This window comes from Homo sapiens, chromosome 15 (assembly GCF_000001405.40).
Source record: "Homo sapiens chromosome 15, GRCh38.p14 Primary Assembly".
Classification (NCBI taxonomy): domain Eukaryota; kingdom Metazoa; phylum Chordata; class Mammalia; order Primates; family Hominidae; genus Homo; species Homo sapiens.
In genome coordinates this window covers 63,740,050-63,759,868 of record NC_000015.10, presented here as the reverse complement: position 1 = coordinate 63,759,868, position 19,819 = coordinate 63,740,050, and the positions used below count along the sequence as shown (strand labels likewise).

The window sequence follows — 19,819 nt, the reverse complement described above, 5'->3', positions numbered from 1 at the left end:
TATTATTCTATTGTTTGGATACTATTTAAAGTATCTGACCAAGATGACCCTATCCTCTCCCATTTCATGTGCTAGCAAACTAATATGTTGACTTCTTAAATTTCTTTTATCGTTTTGCTTGATTCAGCAAAACCAAAAAACTAAAAGGCAGAAAACAAATTGATAGTCACTGTAGTCAGTTAATATCTTTATTGTATTGAGTTCATACAAGTCAATTTAAAAATCTATTAAGTTCTAATAAATAAGTGAACAGAAGTTCACGTCACAAAATATAGTAAACAAATAGATGGAAAAACTTTAGTTTTGCTAACAATAAAGAAATGTGAAGTTAAGATAAGGGCATCTTCCTTTTTCCTCATTTATGTTTGCCAAAAAATTTAAAAGCATGATACTTATTATGAGTATGGATTCAGTGAAATTGGTACTGGGATGGCCACTCTGGGTCCTATGCTTTTGGCAGGCAGCCTGGTGTTTTAAAAAGGCTTTTGAATGGCAACAGACTTTACCATTATATTCTACAGAAATGGTAAATAAGCCATGATTTTTATTTTATATATTCAGATATACGTGTGAATGTTAATTGCTTTGTGCCTTCGCTGTTTTTAGAACAGCCTTCTTTCATACCTTACTGGTGATGTATTAATAGCACCATTTTGGAATGCAGTTTGGTATAGTATGTTTCAAGAATCATAGGATTCTTGTCTTTTTTTGAATTCCGAGTCCCATTTCTGAGATTCTCTACTAAGGAAGTAATAAAAAGTATAGTAACAACTATATCCTTAAAAATGGCCTATATAACAAATAAATAGACTCTAAATGCCCTATTAAAGGAAAGTGGAGCCAGGTATGATTACTTGCATGCCTGTAATCTCAGCTACTTGGGGGGCTGAGGTGGGAGGATTGCTTGAACCCAGGAGTTTGAGTCTAGTCTGTGTAAGATAATGAGACCCCATCTATTTAAAAAAAAAGTTGGGGGTGGGGAAGTGGTTGAGTACATTGTGATGTTTTTTACTAGATGGAATATTATCTATTCAATCATGAAGACTAGGTAGGCATGGATTTGCATGACTCTTTTGTGCAGTTTGTCACTTTTATGTATCCTCTGTGGTGACTGTGTTAAATAATTTGTATATGAACAATTCTGGAAGGACATATATTTAAAAGGTAAAATTTATTGTATTAAGATGTTAAGATTATCCATGGTGATTTTTTCTACTTTATTTCTTAAGCTTTGTTTTTCTACAGTGTTTTGTATGCAGTAATAAAATGTTTAGCTAAAGGATTGTGTGTCTCCCGTTTCCCACTTTTGCCACTTCATTAGCGTCTTTTAGTGGTTTATTCCATATGAGTAAATAGTCTAGTTATCTTTATTTAATAGGTTCTTTGAGCATTTGAGAGTGTTGGAAGGAAAGGCAACAGTAATTTCAGAGGATATGTATAAAAAATGCCCAGACTAAAACTGTCTTGACTATTTGTTGCATATTTTAAATTTTTAATAGGTTTGCAGAATGGCTTCTGATTATTCGAGAACATGTGCTAGCCCAGATAGCATTCAGACTGGTGATGCTCCCATTGTCTCCGAAACCTGTGAGGTTTATGTTTGGGGGAGCAATAGCAGCCATCAGTTGGTAGAAGGTACACAGGAGAAAATACTGCAACCCAAACTGGCTCCTAGTTTCTCTGATGCACAGACCGTAAGTTTTCTAAATAGCTTACAAACTGGTAGATAATCTGGTGTATATTCATGCTTATTTGCATTAAATAATACTGAGTATTTTTTAAATGAGTGAAAATTATCGATGGTTATTTCTGGTCTATATACTGCATTAGTTTTTTTCATTTTAATAGAAAAATAAATTTTTGCTGGGCGCAGTGGCTCACGCCTGTAATCCCAGCACTTTGGGAGGCTGAGGCAGGTGGATCACGAGGTCAGGAGTTCGCGACCAGCCTGGCCAATATGGTGAAACCCTATCTCTACTAAAAATACAAAAATTAGCCAGGCATGGTGGCGCATGCCTGTAGTCCCAGCTACTCGGGAGGCTGAGGCAGAAGAATAGCTTGAACCTGGGAGGCGGAGGTTGCAGTGAGCTGAGAACATGCCACTGCATTCCAGCCTGGGTGACAGAGTGAGGCTCCGTCTCAAAATAAATAAATAAAAAATACATTTTTAGTCCCCAGTATCCCTGACAGCATTTCCAACTTTCAAATAACTAAATTGGGATCTCGATTTTTAAAAAGTGTTAAGAATAGCAACAGACTTTACCGTTATGTTCACCACAAATGGCAAGTAAAAGTAAATAAAGGCCTGGTATGGTGGCTCACACCTGTAATCCCAGCACTTTGGGAGGCCAAGGCGGGTGGATCGTTTGAGATCATGAGTTCGAGACTAGCTTGACCAACATGGTGAAACCCCGTCTCTACTAAAATTATTTACAAAAATTAGCCGGGCATGATGGCGCGTGCCTATAATCTCATGTACTCAGGGGGCTGAGGCAGGAATTGCTTGAACCTGGTAAGTGGAGGTTATAGTGAAACAAAATTGCACCACTGCACTCTAGCCCAGGTGACAGAGCGAGACTCTGTCTCAAAAAAAAAAAAAAAAAAAAGTAAATAAAAACTGGAATTTCTTTTTGCTAGATTAGCATTTCATTTTCTTATGATCACTTTTTTTTTTACATTTGTAGCCCAGCTAGAACTTTCTATTTGATTATTACTTTCATTAAAATGTATTTTTTTTTCAAATAGGTTTAGAATACATTTTATATGGTTCTTGCCATAATGTACCCTAAGGAATTTATAGGAAGGAAAACTTTATGTCTTGCCATTCTCAGTTATAAGAGGATATTAAGCGTTTTACTTTGTTGTTTCATTCAATCATAACCTGGACAATAACCTGGAAAGATAACATATACATGAAGAATTTGAACTCAGCAACAAAGTTGTGAGCATGAAAAGGCCATTCGTGTTCTCTTAGATTTCTGTATATTCCTTAATCTCTCTGGAGAATCATGCCGTATCCTGCTAAAAGACTTCCTTTGAGGCTCTTTGATAAAACCAGCCTTAAATATTATACTTTGATACTCACAGAAGTATTTTATATTTATGATTCTTTGTTTATAGATTGAAGCTGGACAGTACTGCACTTTTGTCATTTCTACGGATGGCTCTGTTAGAGCTTGCGGGAAAGGCAGCTATGGGAGACTGGGCCTTGGAGACTCCAATAATCAGTCAACTTTAAAAAAGTTAACATTCGAGCCTCACAGATCCATTAAAAAGGTTTCATCTTCTAAAGGATCTGATGGTCACACTTTAGCCTTTACGACAGAAGGAGAAGTCTTCAGTTGGGGAGATGGTGATTATGGGAAACTGGGGCATGGAAATAGTTCAACACAGAAATATCCCAAGCTTATTCAGGGACCTCTACAAGGAAAGGTATGTGCATTCTTTTTGGTTATAAAAATAATTAGATGCATTGGAGTTGTAATTGACAATGTCGTTCAGATTTTGATGTGTTCTTTCTGCAGTTGCCCCTTCAACCCTTTGGCTTAATCTTTTGTATCTCTGCTTTACAGTTTACAGAACACCTTTGTATACATTATTGAATTTTAATTCTTATATTCTTATAATTATTCTTGTAAGGTAGTTATTATCCCTATTTCACAGATAAGCAAACTGAGAGTCATTCATTTAACAAACATTTAGCACTTTTGAAGTGTCAGGCAGTATTTTAGGCATTAGACTTGTAGCAGTGAACAAGACAGATAAGGTCTCTACTTTAATCCTTTAGTCTTCAGGATAGAGATAATAAGTTAACAAGCATATAGAATAATTTCAGATAATATTAAAGAAAAAAATGAGCAATAAAGGTTACCTTGGGCAGGTGTGGTATTAGGTAATGAGGTAGGTCAGAGAGTGCTCTTAGGAGAGGTGGCATCTTAATAGAGACCTGAATGGGGAGGCATTTAGAGTACCTAAGTAATTGCCAAGGACCCACACAAATAATTGGAACCATAAGAAACTGAGCTCATATCTTCTCTTTTTATTAATCTCCCCTCCTCTCTCTTCCTCTCTTTTCTTTCTTTCTTTTTTTGTTAGGTTCTTACTTTGTCACCCAGGCCGGAGTGCAGTGGTGCTATCTCAGCCCACTGCATCTTTGATTTCCTGGGGCTCAGGTGGTCCTCCCAACTCAGCTTTCTGAGTAGCTGGGACTATAGACATGCGCCACCATGCCTGGCTAATTTTCATATTTTTTAAAAGAAACAGGGTTTTGCCATGTTGCCCAGGCTGAACTCGAACTCCTGAGCTCAAACAATCTGCCTGCCTTGGCCTGCCAAAGTGCTGGGATTACAGGCATGTATTTCAGCACTTACTTGAACTCTTAGCCAGTCATCCTTGGCCTGAACACAGCCTCCACAACTGTACCTGGAAATTCCTGGATGGGTTGTGAATATTAGTATCTGTGAAGTCTCTGTGTATAGGATCAAATACGGACTATATGTTTTAACATGTGCATACTCATCGTATTTACTTGTGTGCAATGCAGGTAGTTGTTTGTGTGTCAGCTGGATACAGACATAGTGCTGCTGTCACAGAGGATGGGGAATTATACACATGGGGTGAAGGAGACTTTGGAAGATTAGGTAAGATTTTTTAAAAATGTAAGTTATTCTTCTAGAAAATTAGAAATGATTAAGTTACTGAGAAGCCGTGAGAGCAGATTTACTAGGCCAAAGACTGTCATTTATTTTGTTAGTTTAAGCTCAGAGGAAGATAATTTTATATAGATAAGACCTAGATTTTAGTGCTGATATTTAAATGTAATTAAATCTAGCAAGCATTTACTGAGTGTGCCCTATTATGACCAGGCATTGTAGGGTTTCTGGGATAAAAGCAATACCATCATGATCCTGAAGTTTATAATCTAGTGGGTAATGAAAACAAGTCAACATGAGCATGAAACAGGACAACACAAGGTAAGTGCTGTGAGGGGAGCATGAAAAGAATATTCTAATGGTTCACCGAAGTGACTCTATGACCCAGTTTAGGAGCACCTTGGAAGATTGAGAAGATGTTAGAAATGATTGTGTTTTTCATATTGCATTGCATTAAAAAAATCTCAATTCTATTTTAAAGTTGTAACATTTATTATACTTGTGAAGTCAAGGCCTAGAGAAAAAGAGTTAATGTTGTTTCTTTGTTGTTGTGTGTGTTTTATCCAAGGTCATGGTGACAGCAATAGTCGTAACATTCCAACATTAGTAAAAGACATCAGCAATGTAGGAGAGGTTTCTTGTGGCAGTTCACATACTATTGCTCTGTCTAAAGATGGGAGAACTGTATGGTCTTTTGGAGGAGGAGACAATGGTATGTAAAAAATTATTTATCAGTAGCTTTGGCTTTTTTCTTGAGTTTTTTAAAAATTTATTTTTCAGTTATATATGCCTAGTGTAGAATGACTCAAATACAGATGAGCAGAAATTAAAAAATGAACTGAGCTTTTACAAATGTTACTTTAACCATTGTTAACATTTTGGAAATAGACTTCTAAATAAATACACATTTATACAAATATTTACATATATTTCTACTTAGATGTGTTTTTAAAAACCAAAGTATACCTACATGTGTATGTTTTATATAAGTTTATATATGTTTTGACATATATATGTTTTACTCTAATAGTTTTTTTTTTTTTGAGATAGGGTCTTGCTTTGTTACCCAGGCTAGAGTGCAGTGATGCAAACCTGGCTCACTGCAGCCTCAACCTCCTGGGCTCAAGCGATCCTCCTGCCTCAGCCCCCCAAGTAGCTGGGACTACAGGCATGCACCACCATGCCTGACTAAGTTTTGTATTTTTTTTAGAGACAGGATTTTGCTTTATTGCCCAGGCTGGCCTCGAACTTCTGGGCTCAAGTGATCTGCCAGATTTAGTCTCCCAAAGTGCTTGTATTACAGGCATGAACCTCCGTGCCCGGCATGAGTATCTTTTTTATATCAACAAGCATGACTCTACATCATTCTTTTAAATGGCTTGAAGTGTTCTTTTATTTGATGGTGGCACAATTTATAAAACCAGTTTCTTATTGTTGAGTATCTAGATGGTTTCAATTTTTTTCAGTATTAACAACACAATGAATGACTAAATCTATGTCTACTTTAATTAGTCACTCCTACTAGCAGTGTGAATGCTTACTTCCCCATAGTCTTCAACAACAGCATGTATTAAATTTAATTAAATAATTTCAATAGTGAAAATGGTATCATTTAATTTATACTTTTTTTTATTCCTGGTGTGGTTGGATTTGTAGATGATTGGCCATTTGTTTTTCTTCTTTAATGATTTGTCCAGTTTTCAATTTCATGAGCTATTGATTTTTTAAAAAGTTTATGAAAAATTATATGCATATACATTCTTTTTTAAAGTTTATGAAAAATTATACGCATATAGTACCTGTATATTTTGTCAGCAAATTTGAAGTTAGAAATATAGCCATTAAAGGGGGAGAAAGACAGAAAAATAATTGTCTATGTTTCTTTTAAAGTGATTTTAAATTGCTTGATTTTAATTGCTTGAAATTAAGATATAAAAGGCTATCAGTGGTTGTTAACTTTCTTGTAATAAAAATGCTCGTTTGTTAACATCCTCAGCTATCAGAAACATAGCTTTTCATATCTGCCAGGTTAGTGATGGAAACATTAGAGCTCCTTATCAACTTTAGTAGTGTTAAAAAGAGTAGAGGTTCTTTAAAACAAGTAAATTGTTTAATGTGTTTGTTTTTATAGGTAAACTTGGTCATGGTGATACCAACAGAGTGTATAAACCTAAAGTTATTGAAGCTTTACAAGGAATGTTCATTCGCAAAGTTTGTGCTGGGAGCCAGTCTTCACTTGCTTTGACATCAACAGGGCAGGTAGGACTAAGGGATGAGTATAAAAGACTTAGAGTATTTCAGAGGATTAGGTGACTAAAAAGTAATACTTGTATTTAAATTTTAAAGTTCAAATAAATACATTTTTAGGCAACATGCTAAAATGAAATATCTTCTTCTGTTTGAAGTAGAGTATCTGAGAAGGAACCAGGTTTTCTAACCTGGCATATGTGACCCAGATAAATCTTAGTGGAGCCTCTGTTCTTTGTATTAAACTGACTTTCTAAAATGTTTTAGCATTTAGCTTCCCTTAAACCTTTTCTAAAACATTATGGATAGTCGGGGAAAGCTGAACTAGATCTTGATGGAGCCAGTGATATGAACTAAGAAGGCAAGAGGGTGATCAAAAAGGAGGGTAAAGAGAACACTTAGGTATGGAAAATATTCTGAGAGAGTTAGGTGTTTCTGAGAAACAGTGTGAAGTCAAGCTTAGGATAGTCAGAATTTTATGAGCCTTTATAAAGGCTCATAAGCTTTGTACTTTTATAGCTTATAAGCTTCGAACTTTTACATGCGTATTTTCACTCTTACCCTATTTGTTTGTTGAGGATAGGGAGGAGCCAGGTATAATTATAGACTGACAATATTTGTCCCTGTGTATCCATCAGTTATGGCAGTAAAAAAGTGAGCTGGCCACTTATTCTGTCATGTATAGGAGGCCACCTTGTGTCAGGCAGTGGTATAAAAGTGTTTTATGACTAATTGACAAGGCAGAGGAGCAGAAAAGCTGAAATCAGCATATAATTTGATTATTCACTGAGAAACTAGAATGCCTTGTGTTCTAAAAATCTTCAAGCTATTCATCATTACATTAGCTAGTTGCTGCCTTAAGAATATCTCTTCTACGTGTTTCTCACTATGGTTTTTGTAGTAAGAATCCATGAATTGAAGTTAGAAGATGCTTATGTATTTGATGTATACACACAGGCAAATAACAGACACCCCTTGAGCATCATGTGCTTCTTTTTTTATGAAGGAGTAATAATTTCTGCTTTGCATACAAGTGATCACATAAGATAATCATTAGAATTGAGAGTTTCTATAGATTATCCAATACTATTCAACTATTAGTTGGTAGTGGTAGTAATAATAGTAATAATAATAATAAATCCATTACATTGAATTCCAAGAGAACTTGTAAACTGTTTGCTGTATAGAATAGTTGTATTATGAGTACCTTAAGTTATATGAAATCAAATATATATGCGTGAAAAAAATAAAGTCAGAAATACTTTTAATGGGTAAGAATAGTTTTCTTTACCATTAAACTTGAGCATGAAATAATGATCAACATTTGCTTTTCCCTCAGTCTGTCTCAGCACTTTCAGGCCTCTTCTGTACTGACTTCCCACCATACTATATAGTATGGTCCAGTCTCTAAAGGCAAGCCAAGTATTTCTCATCTGGTGCTCAACCGAAGGAACGCTGCAAGAGAAAACTCTATGTAGGCCTTACTGAGTGACAGTATTACAGTGATGTGTCACTTAATGGGATATGTTCTGAGAAATGTGTTATTAGGCCATTTTGTTATTGTGAGAACATTGTAGAGAGTACCACACAAACCTAGATGGTGTAGCCTACTACGCTCCTAGACTATATGGTATAGCCTATTGCTCCTAGGTTACAAACCTGTACTGCATGTTACTGTACTGAATACCTTCAGAAATTGTAATATAATGGTAAGTATGTATCTAAACATATCTAAACATAGAAAAGTTACAGTAAAAATACTGGCATCAAAACTCCGTTAGATCTTAAGGGACCACTGTTGTATAATGTGGTCTGCTATTGACCGAATGGTGCATGAGTGTATATGATACCTCATGAGTGATTTAGGAAATCTTCTGTGATGATTTTGAGTATACATTATTTCACTGTCGTTATCTTTAGTTCCTAACATCTCCTAAAATATGCCTTATGTACTGGAATCTTGTTGCATTCTATACTTAAGTAAGTTATCTGGAAACAAGTACAAATATATGTTCTCATTTTATTTTATTTTGAACTCAGGGTCTCACTCTTTTGCTCAGGCTGGAGTACAGTGGCACAAACATGGCTCACTGCAGCCTTGACCTACCTCCTGGGCTCAAGAGATCTTCCCCATCCCAGCTCCCGAGTAGCTGGGACCACAGGCCTGTGCCACAATGCTTGACCAATTTTTTTAAATTTTTGTGGAGATCGGGTCTTGCCACATTGTCCAGGCTGGTATTGAACTCCTGAGCTTGGGTGATCCTCCTGCCATAGCCTCCCAACGTGCTGGGATTACAGGCTTAAGCCACTACATCCGGACAGTGCTCTTTATTTTTAATTGAAGTGGTTTAATCTCTCAGCAGCAGTCTTTCCTAAAATAATTGCAAGACAAAAACAAATTCTCAAATTTGATGGCATGAAGATAAGAATCTATATAATCTTACCAAAATCTATTGAAGATAAAGAAAAAAAATCATTCAGATTGCTGATTGTTTTGATTTTGTTGATTTTGGGTTGCCAAATTGTCAGTCAGTCACCTATTTGTCTTGCCAAAGACAAAATTTTTTTTTCCCACCTAACCCTTTCCCCAAGCATCTTAAATCAGTTAGTGATTCTTTTGGTATTCATTAGTCAAAAATGAAGATGTTTAAGGGGAACTACCTTGTTACTGCTTCACATGGCCCTCTTTGTAAGTGATAATTATTGCAATAATGAGGTGAGGTATTTCTAAAACTAAATAATAAACATCAGTTTTGTGATTTATATAATCCATTTTATATGATAATACCTTGTTCTAATCTTAAATCTCACCGGAATAGTGAGAAACACATAAAGGAGAAGTTTTAAGATGGTATTTTCAAAGCTGGTGAGATGGGGCAAATATAACAAATTGCAAGCCGATTAGTGGTTTAGCAGACCCTCTCAGAAGACCTTTCTGTTTTTTCTATGACCAGTTATTTTTATTTTCAGATCAGCTGTTTTTCTGCCTATACAGTGAATGCCTAAAGGCAGCATGATAAATCGCTGTAACAATCTTTAAAATGATCAAAATGATTTTAACATCAGAAAGTTATTTACTATCAAACCACACTTTAGTTTCATAGATTTCATTTATCCCTAAAGCCAACAATCTAATCATCTCAGGAAGTTATGTGTAACGTATTTCTGTTTTTTTCAGGTCTATGCTTGGGGCTGTGGAGCTTGTCTAGGTTGTGGTTCTTCAGAAGCTACTGCTTTGAGACCCAAGCTTATTGAAGAACTGGCTGCCACAAGAATAGTTGATGTTTCTATTGGAGACAGTCATTGTTTGGCTCTTTCTCATGGTAAAGTCATTTGTTTTTAAGGAAATAGTATTAACTGTTGTCTTGTGTAAATATATTACATTTGAATTTGGCTTTTCTTTTATATAATACTTTATATTTTGTTTTTAGATAATGAAGTTTATGCCTGGGGCAATAACTCAATGGGGCAATGTGGTCAGGGAAATTCCACAGGTCCTATTACTAAACCAAAGAAAGTGAGTGGCTTAGATGGCATAGCTATTCAGCAGATTTCGGCTGGAACATCACATAGTCTGGCATGGACTGCTCTTCCTAGGGACAGGTAAGAGTGCCTATGTTTAAAAATTCTTGTGTGTTTTAACATAAACACCAATAAAAAGTAGAAACACTAATAAAAACAGAAATAATTGTGCTTTGTTCATAAAATACTCTTCTGAACATATATAGTATTGCTTTTTCTCTATCATAGAAATGACATTAGATTTCTTTTTATTTGAATGTTGAGGTTAGACATGTTTCCGAAGCAAGAAGTCATACCCAGTATTTAAGACATTGTCTTTTAAACATTTTGAGTTCTCTCTCATCTCTACATGCTGATTTAAAAAAATTAAATATCTGCATATCAAGAGGAAATTAAAATAATTAAAATCAGAACTAGGCTTTATTGATTTAATGTTTAACCTCAGTGCTCTCAATCTGGTTGGTTTTTGAATTTTTTTTTTTTTTTGGAAAAAAAATTGTCATACTTTAAATCAAGGAGGTTAATTTTTGCAGAAACTTAGCTTTTTCCGAAAGTGCTAACTGTACGTGTTTAGTCCATCAGGTAGATGAGTTTCAGTCACTATTAGGAGATTGAATTTTAAAGAATGTTTGGGTTATTTCAGATATTTTCAGATACACATGGGCTAATTTATAGCTTAGAATGTATTTTATTTGCATTCTATGCCTTTGACTCAGGGTTTTAAAATGATACTCTAACCAATTAAAAATATTTATCAATAGTTATTCCTCTAACACAAAAGCCAAAATAAATAAGTTGAATATAAATAATTTGCTATTAGCATTACATCTCCAACTTCCCACTTCATATGTAGATAGTTGGGTCCCAAGAACTGAAAAGTATTAACAAGAAATTTCAGGATTTTGTCTTTTAATAGATTTCAGTATATCACTCTATAGAGTCAGGATATTTTTCTTAATATGAAATATATATTTTCTGGACTCTTAGAACCAGAGGGGCTTTAGTAGATCATGTGACTCAGCCCTCTGCTTTCAGGTGAGTGGACATCCAAACCTTCCAAAACAGGTGGTGGTTGTATGTTTTCTTCTTAAAGATGGCAAATTCTTGGTTTTCCTTAGTTGCTAAAATGAAAGGTTTTATCACTTTCATAATCAGTAATGTCTTCTTTGTATCTTGTTGAACTCATTCAGCTTTAATGTATATATGTATATATATATTTTTTGAGATGGAGTCTCACTCTGTCGCCCAGGCTGGAGTGCAGTGATACAGTCTCTGCTCACTGCAGTGTCTGCTTCCCAGGTTCAAGCGATTCCCCTGCCTTAGCCTCCTGGGTAACTGGGACTACAGGCATATACCACCATGCCCGACTAATTTTTATGTTTTTAGTAGAGATGGGTTTTCACCATGTTGGCCAGGCTGGTCTTGAACTCCTCACCTCAGGTAATCTGCATTCCTTGGCCTCCCAAAGTGCTAGGATTACAGGCATGAGCCACCGTGCCCAGCCAATATATGTTTTAATTTTCGTTTTTGATCGTGCATAAAAATTTCATTTTAAGACTGTTTTATTATTTTCTTATGTGTCCTTCTAGACAAGTTGTTGCATGGCACCGACCTTATTGTGTAGATCTTGAAGAGAGTACCTTCTCACACCTGCGTTCTTTTCTTGAGAGATACTGTGATAAAATAAACAGTGAGATTCCCCCACTCCCTTTCCCTTCATCAAGGTATGTTATATGTATGTTTTGTATCTTTGTGTGTGTGTGTGCGCGCGCGTGTGTGCATGTGTATAAATTATTCCTTTTGAGTTTTGACTTACTGTTCTTTCTTGTTTGGTTTCCCAAATTATATGAAACTTTTTTATAATCTAGAAAAGAGCTAAACTTAGATACTTGTTGATAATAACTTCTAGGAAAAAGTTACTTGTAATTTCACAAATCATGTTTTAAAAATTACTGTTGTTCATGACTTGACAAAATTTTTTTTTTTTTAAGATGGTGTCTTGCTCTGTCGCCCAGGCTAGAGTGCAGTGGCATGATCTCAGTTCACTGCAGCCTCTGCCTCCCAGGTTCAAGTGATTCTCTTGCCTCAGCCTTCTGAGTAGCTGGGATTACAGGCACCCGCCATCATGCCCAGCTAATTTTTGTATTTTTAGTAGAGGCGGGGTTTTGCCATGTTGGCCAGGCTAGTCTCTAACTCCTGACTTCAGGTGATCCACCCACCTCCGCCTCCCAAAGTGCTGGGATTACAGGCATGAGCCACCGCACCTAGCCAACAAAATTTTTAAAGATATAAAAATGTTACCCAAACTGGATAGCACAGGCACTTTTATGATCCGAGAATTCATAGACGTTTATTTGGTTTCAGAGAACACCACAGTTTTCTCAAGCTGTGCCTGAAGCTACTTTCAAATCACCTTGCTCTTGCACTTGCGGGAGGGGTAGCTACCAGCATTCTCGGGAGGCAGGCAGGTCCACTTCGAAATTTGCTCTTCAGACTGATGGACTCAACTGTCCCAGATGAAATCCAAGAGGTAAGAGAATAGGACTTGTGAATCTGTATCTCAAACCACGTCTTTCTCTGAGATTTTAGCTATACAATATATTCAACTGTACATTGGACAATTTCAATTGGATGTTGTTTCCCTTACTCCTGTTTTCTTGGTGAGAGTATTTTTGGTTAACTCATCCTTGAGACAAAGGTCAGATGCCATCTCTGATAAACTTTTTATTCCTGCTCTCCCACCAGATTTGGTTTTTCTTGTATATGTTCTCATTACATCACATTGTATTCTAGTTGCTTATTTACAAACATGTCACTCTTTTTTCACCAGAAGATGAGTTCCTGAGGGCAAGGACCTAGGGCATGGCTTGGTCAGTAGTAGTAACTGAATAAGTGGACTGGATCATCTACTAGAACTGTAACCAGAGCTAAGGAGAGAAAGGTCAGCTTAAGGAGGAAGAAGTGGCCTAGAATAGAATACTGGTTATAAATAAGGAGAGTATAGTTTAAAAAAACATATTTAGTATTATAATACAATGTTAAATTTGGGGGAAACTTAAAAATATCTATATATTTGTAATACAAAATACAGAAAATAAACTCTTTTGGTAGGTAATAATAGAAAGTACAGTAATTTTTAAACCAGTGCACTCCTAAATTATCAGTGGATCAAAGAAAGAAATTACAAGATAAATTTAATACTTAAGATTAATGAAAACAAAAACTTAACATACCAAAACTCATGAAATGCAGCTAAAGCTGTGCTTGGAGGAAAATTTATAGCTTATAAACATCTATATTAAAAAAAATATATATCGAATCAGTAATTTAACCTTCTACCTTAAGAAATTAGAAAAAGAAGAGTCAACTCAACCCAAAGCAAGTAGAAAAAAGGAACTAATGTAGATTAGAGTGAAATTAAAAAAATAAAGAACAGAAAAACAATTGAGGAGATCCAGGAAACTAAATGTTTGTTCTTTGAAAAGACAAAATCAACAAACCTCTGGCTGGACTGACCAAGAAAAATGAGAGAGGACTTAAATTACTCAAATCAGGAATGAAAGACAAGATATTACTACTGACCCTACAGAAATCAAAAGGGAAATTGAGAGGCAGAGCAAGATGGTGGAATAGAAGGCTCCACTGATCATTCCCCCTGCCAAGGACACCACTTTAACAACTCTACACAGAAAAAACCACCTTCATAAGAACCAAAAATCAGGTGAGCACTTACAGTACCTAGTTTTAACTTCATATCACTGAAAGAGGCACTGAAGAGATAGAAAAAACAGTCCTGAATAGGCAGTGCCACTCCTCCCCCTGCAGCAGTGGCAGTATGGTGCAGAGAGTGTCTCTGGGTGCTTGGGGAGGGAGAACACAACAATTGTGAGGCATTGAACTCAATGCTATCCTGTTAGAGCAGAAAGGAGAACTGGACCAAACTCAGCTGACACCTGTGCACAGAGGGAGCATTTAAACCAACCCTAGCCAGAGGGGAACTGCTGATCCCAGTGATCCAAATTTGAATTCCTGCAAGGCTTGCCACTGAGGGCTATAGTGCTCTGTGTCTCCAAGTAAACTTGAAAGGCAGTCTAGGCCAAAAGGACTGCAACTCTTAGGCGAGTCCTAGTGCTGAACTGGTCCCAGAGACAGTGGACAGAGGGGCAGGTGACATACTGAGACACCAGCTGGGGTAACCAAGGGAGTGTTGGCTCACCCCCCGCCTCCCCGACCCCAATGCCAGGCTACACAGCTCGTGGCTCCAAGAGAGACCCCTTTCTTCCACTTGAGAGGGAAGAGTGGGCAGGACTTTGTCTTGTGTCTTAGATAACATCTTGGTCACAGCAGGATAGGGGACCAGTCAGAGTCGCAAGTCTCCCTGTTCCAGATGCCAGCTCTCAGATGACATTTCTAGACATGCCCCAGGCCAGAAGGGAACCCACTGCCTTGAAGAAAAGGACTCAGTACTGGCAGCATTCATCACCTGCTAACCGAAGAGCCCATGGGCTGTGAATAACCAGCATTGATACCCAGCTGCTATGTCAAGGGCTTTGGGTGAGCCTCTGAGACTTTCTGGCTTCAGGTACCAGCACAGCCATGGAGGGACAGAGTACCAAATACACTCTTGGGATCCCTGATTCCAGGACTTGATTGTTAGATGGCATTTCTAGACCTGTCCTGGGCTACAGGAGAACCCACTGCCCTGAAGGGTGAGACCTAGGCCAGGCAGTATTCACCATAAGCTAACTTAAGAATCCCTGGGCCTTAAGCTTAAGGGAACAGTGGTGCTTGTCTGGCAATACTCCTTGTGGCCTGGGGTGGTGGTAGCTATGGGGCGAGGCTCCTCTAGCTTTGGAAAGGGGAGGCACAAGTGAAAAAGACTGTGTCTTGTGGTTTGAGTGCCAGCTCAGCCATAGTACAATAGAACATTGGGTAGACCTCTAAGGTTTTTGACTCTAGTCCCTGACTCCCAGATGGCACCTCTAGACCCACCTGAGGCTTGGGGGACCTCACTCCCCCTGAAGGGAAGGACACGGCCTGGCTGGCTTTGCCACTGGCTGATTGTGGAACCACAGAGTCTTGAGCGAACATAGGCAATAGCCAGGGAGTGGTTACGGCAAGCTTGGGTGAGACCCAGTGCTGTGCTGGTGCTGTGCTAGCTTTAGGTCTGACCCAGTGCAGTCATAGTGGTGTTGGCCACAGGGGTGCTTGTGTCACTCCACCCCCAGCTTTAGGTGGCTGAGGAGAGACAGAGAGAGAGAGAGAGAGAGAGAGAGAGAGAGACACACACACACACACACACACACACACACACACACACACACACACACACACACAGTCTGTTTGGGAGAAAGTAAGGGAAGAGAACAAGAGTCTCTGCCTGATAATCCAGAGAATTCTCCCAGATCTTGTCCAAGACCATCAAGGTGGTACCTCTATGAGGCTGCAAGAACCACAACGTAGATACAGTTTAGATCATAATACCCAAGTCCTTTAAAATATCTGGAAAGCCCAAGAAGGATGGGTACAGATAAGCCCAGACAGTGAAGACTACAATAAATACCTAACTCTTCAATATCTACTGGCATCCACACCATCCATGACCTAACCAAATGAACCAAAGAAGGCACCAAGGACCAATCCTGGGGAAACAGATTTGTGACCTTTCACACAGAGAATTCAAAATAGCTTTGTTGAGGAAAGTCAAAGAAATTCAAGATAGCACAGAGAAGGAATTCAGAATCCTATCACATAAATTTAACAGAGATTAAAATAATTTGAAAGAATCAAGTAGAAATTCTGGAGCTGATAAATGCAATTGACATTTTGAAGAATGCCTCAGAATCCTTTAATACCAGAATTGATGGCAGAAGAAAGACTTAGTGAGCTGGGCATGGTGGCTCACGCCTGTAATCCCAGCACTTTTGGAGGCCAAGGTGGGTGGATCACAAGGTCAAGAGATAGAGACATTCCTAGCCAACATGGTGAAACCCCTTCTCTACTAAAAATACAAAAAAAATTAGCTGGATGTGGTGGCACATGCCTGTAGTCCCAGCTACTCGGGAGGCTAAGGCAGGAGAATCGCTTGAACCTGGGAGGTGGAGGTTTCAGTGAGCCCAGATTGTGCCACTGCACTCCAGCCTGGTGACAGAGTGAGACTCCATTTAAAAAAAAAAAAAAAAAAGAAAAAGAAAAAAAGAAAAAAAAAGAAAATACACAGAGGAGACAAAAGAAAAAGAATAAAAAAGGTTGAAGCACACCTACAGGATCTAGAAAATAGTCTCAAAGGGCAAGTCAAAGAGTTGTTGGCCTTAAAGAAAAATCTCATGAAGAAAAGCCCAGGAGCAAATGGCTTCACTTGTGAATTCCACAAAATATTTAAAGAAGGATTAAGACTAGTTCTTCACAAACTCTTCCAGAATGTAGAAGAGAAGCTAATACTTCCCAACTATATTTTGTGAGGCCAGTATTACCCTAATTGTGGACCAAAACATTGCAAGAAAAGAAAAACTATAGACCAGCTATTAAAGTACTCTGATGCATTCTTCAGTATCCATTATGAAGATAGATGTAAAAATTCTCAACAAACTACTAACAAACCAAATCCAGCAACTTACCTAAAAGATTGTACCCCATGACCAAATGGGATGTATCCCATTTTCAAAGTATGAAAATCAATCAATATAATACACCATATTAATAGAAAAAATGAACAAAAACAATGTGATTATCTGGATGCTGAAAAAGCATCTGACAAAATTCAACATTCTTTCATGATAAAAATATTCAACAAACTAGGAATAGAAGGGAACTTTCTTAACCTGAAAAGGGCATCTATGAAAAAGTTATAGTTAATATCATATTCAATGGAGAAAGACTGAAAACCTTCCCCCTAAGATCAGGAATAAAATAAAGACTTCCACTCCTGCCATTTCTATTCTAGCTGGGGCAATTATATAAGATAATGAAATAAAACTCATGTAGATTGAAAAGGAAGTTGTAAAACTATTTCTGTTTGCGGATGACATGATTTTGTGTGTAGAAAATTCTAAGGAACACACACACACTCATACACAACTATTAGGGCTAATAAACGAGTTCAGCAGAGCTTCAGGGTAAAAGATAAATGTACAAAAATTGTTTCTATACACCAACAATGTACAATCAAAGAATGAAATTAAGGAAACAAGTTTATGTACAAAAGCATCAAAAAGAATAGGATACTTAGGAATACATTTAACAAAAGAAGTGTAAGACTTGTACACTGAAGGAACAAAACATTATTGAAAGAAATTAAAGAAGACCGAAATAAATGGAAACACACCTCATGTTTATGGATTGCAAGACTTAATATTGTGAAGATGTCAATACTTTGCAAATTGGTTCACAGATTGAGTGCAATCACTATCAAAATTCTTGCTGGCTTTGTTTGGCAGAAATTGATAAGCTGATCCTAAAATCATATGGAAATTCAAGGATCCAGAGTAGCCAAAACAGTCTTGAAAAAGAAGAGGAAAGTTAGAAGGCTCACACTTTCCAACTTCAAAACATACTACTTTAGAGTTACAGTAATAAAAATAGAGTGGCTGTGTCAGAAGGATAAATATATAGATCAATGGAATAGAATTAAGAGTCTAGAAATAAACTCATACATCTGTGGCTTACTGATTTTCTACAAGAGTGCCAAAACTATTTCATGAGAGAATAGTGTCTCATGGTACTTGGACAACTGTATACCCACATGCAAAAGAATGAAGTTGGCCCCTTACATCATATACAAAAAAATTAAAGTGGATTAAAGACCTAAATATAAGAGCTATAACTGTAAAACTCATAAAAGAAAACATAGGGCCAGGCGCACGCCTGTAATCCCAGCACTTTGGAATGCCGAGGCAGGTGGATCACCTGAAGTCGAGTTCAAGACCAGCCTAACATGGTGAAACCCCGTATCTACTAAATAACAAAAAATTAGCCGGGTGTAGTGGCGTGTGCCTGTAATCCCAGCTGAGGCAGGAGAATTGCTTGAACCCAGGAAGCGGAGGTTGCAGTGAGCTGAGATCACACCATTGCACTCCAGCCTGGGAGACAAGAATGAAACTCTGTCTCAAAAAAAAAAAGATGGGCCCGGCGCGGTGGCTCACGCCTGTAATCCCAGCACTTTGAGAGGCTGAGGCGGGTGGATCACGAGGTCAGGAGTTCGAGACCAGCCTGACCAACATGGTGAAACCCCGTCTCTACTAAAAATACAAAAATTAGCCAGGTGTGGAGGTGCACGCCTGTAATCCCAGCTACTTGGGAGGCTGGGGCAGAAGAATTGCTTGAACCTGGGAGGCAGAGGTTGCAGTGAGTGGAGACCGCACCATTGCACTCCAGCCTGGGCGACAGGGCAAGAGTCCGTCTCACAAAAAAATAAAAAAAAAAACAACATAGATGTAAATCTTTATCACCTTGGATTAGGCAATGGTTTCTTAGCTATGACATCAAAAGCACAAACAACCAAAGGAAAAATAAATTGGACATCATCAAAATTAAAAACATTTGTGCTTCAAAGGATACTTTCAAGAAAATGAAGACAGCACACAGAATGGGAGAGATACTTGTAAGTCATAGATCTGATGAGGTTCTAGTTTCTAGAATATATAAAGAATTCTTACAGCTCAACAATAAAAAAGACAGATACCCCAGTTTTAAAAATGAACAAAGAATCTGAGTAGACATATCTCTAGAGAAGAGAAAAAATAGCCAGTAAACACATGAAAAAATGTTCAACATCATTAATTATTAGGGAAATACAAATCAAAACCACACTGAGATACCACTTCACACCCACTAAGTGACAGTAATCAAAAAGGCTGGCTAATAGCAAACATTGGAGGAGGTGGAGAAATTAGAACCTTCATGCATTGCATGAGAATGTAAAATGGTGCAGGTGCTTTGGAAAACAGGCAGTTCCTTAAATAGTTAAACATAGAGTTACTGTATGATCCAGCAGTTCCACTACTAGGTCTGTACCCAAGAGCATTGAAAACATATGTCCACACAAAAACTTGTACATGAATGTTAATAACAGCATTATTTATAATAGTCAAAAGGTGAAAACAACATGTGTCTGTCAACTGATAAACAAATGAACAAAATTTCGTATATTCATACAATGTAATATTATTTAGCCATAAAAAGGAGTGAAGTAGTGATACATACTACAACCTAACCGAACCTTCTAAATATTATCCTAAGTGGCTGGATGCAGTGGCCCACACCTGTAATCTGCACACTTTGGGAGGCTAAGGTGGGCACATCACTTGAGTCCAGGAGTTTGAGACCAGCCTGGCCAAATGGTGAAACCCTGTCTCTACTAAAAATACAAAAATTAGTTGAGTCTGGTGGCGCATGCCTGT

The 19,819-nt window shown here is 37.6% G+C and overlaps 1 protein-coding gene across 50 annotated transcripts in view; it reads left to right on the top strand.

Annotated features, from left to right (window-relative positions):
- HERC1 (HECT and RLD domain containing E3 ubiquitin protein ligase family member 1) overlaps nt 1–19,819 on the top strand; it is a 225,331-nt gene that overhangs the window by 74,080 nt on the left and 131,432 nt on the right. For all 50 annotated transcript variants that reach the window (XM_047433260.1, XM_047433247.1, XM_047433234.1 and 47 more), the window contains exons 4-12: nt 1,500–1,694; nt 3,121–3,432; nt 4,544–4,640; nt 5,221–5,364; nt 6,784–6,911; nt 10,078–10,222; nt 10,331–10,502; nt 12,011–12,145; nt 12,786–12,951. In XM_047433260.1, coding sequence (XP_047289216.1) covers nt 1,500–1,694; nt 3,121–3,432; nt 4,544–4,640; nt 5,221–5,364; nt 6,784–6,911; nt 10,078–10,222; nt 10,331–10,502; nt 12,011–12,145; nt 12,786–12,951 — 1,494 coding nt within the window. The remainder of the gene's footprint in view (nt 1–1,499; nt 1,695–3,120; nt 3,433–4,543; nt 4,641–5,220; nt 5,365–6,783; nt 6,912–10,077; nt 10,223–10,330; nt 10,503–12,010; nt 12,146–12,785; nt 12,952–19,819) is intronic.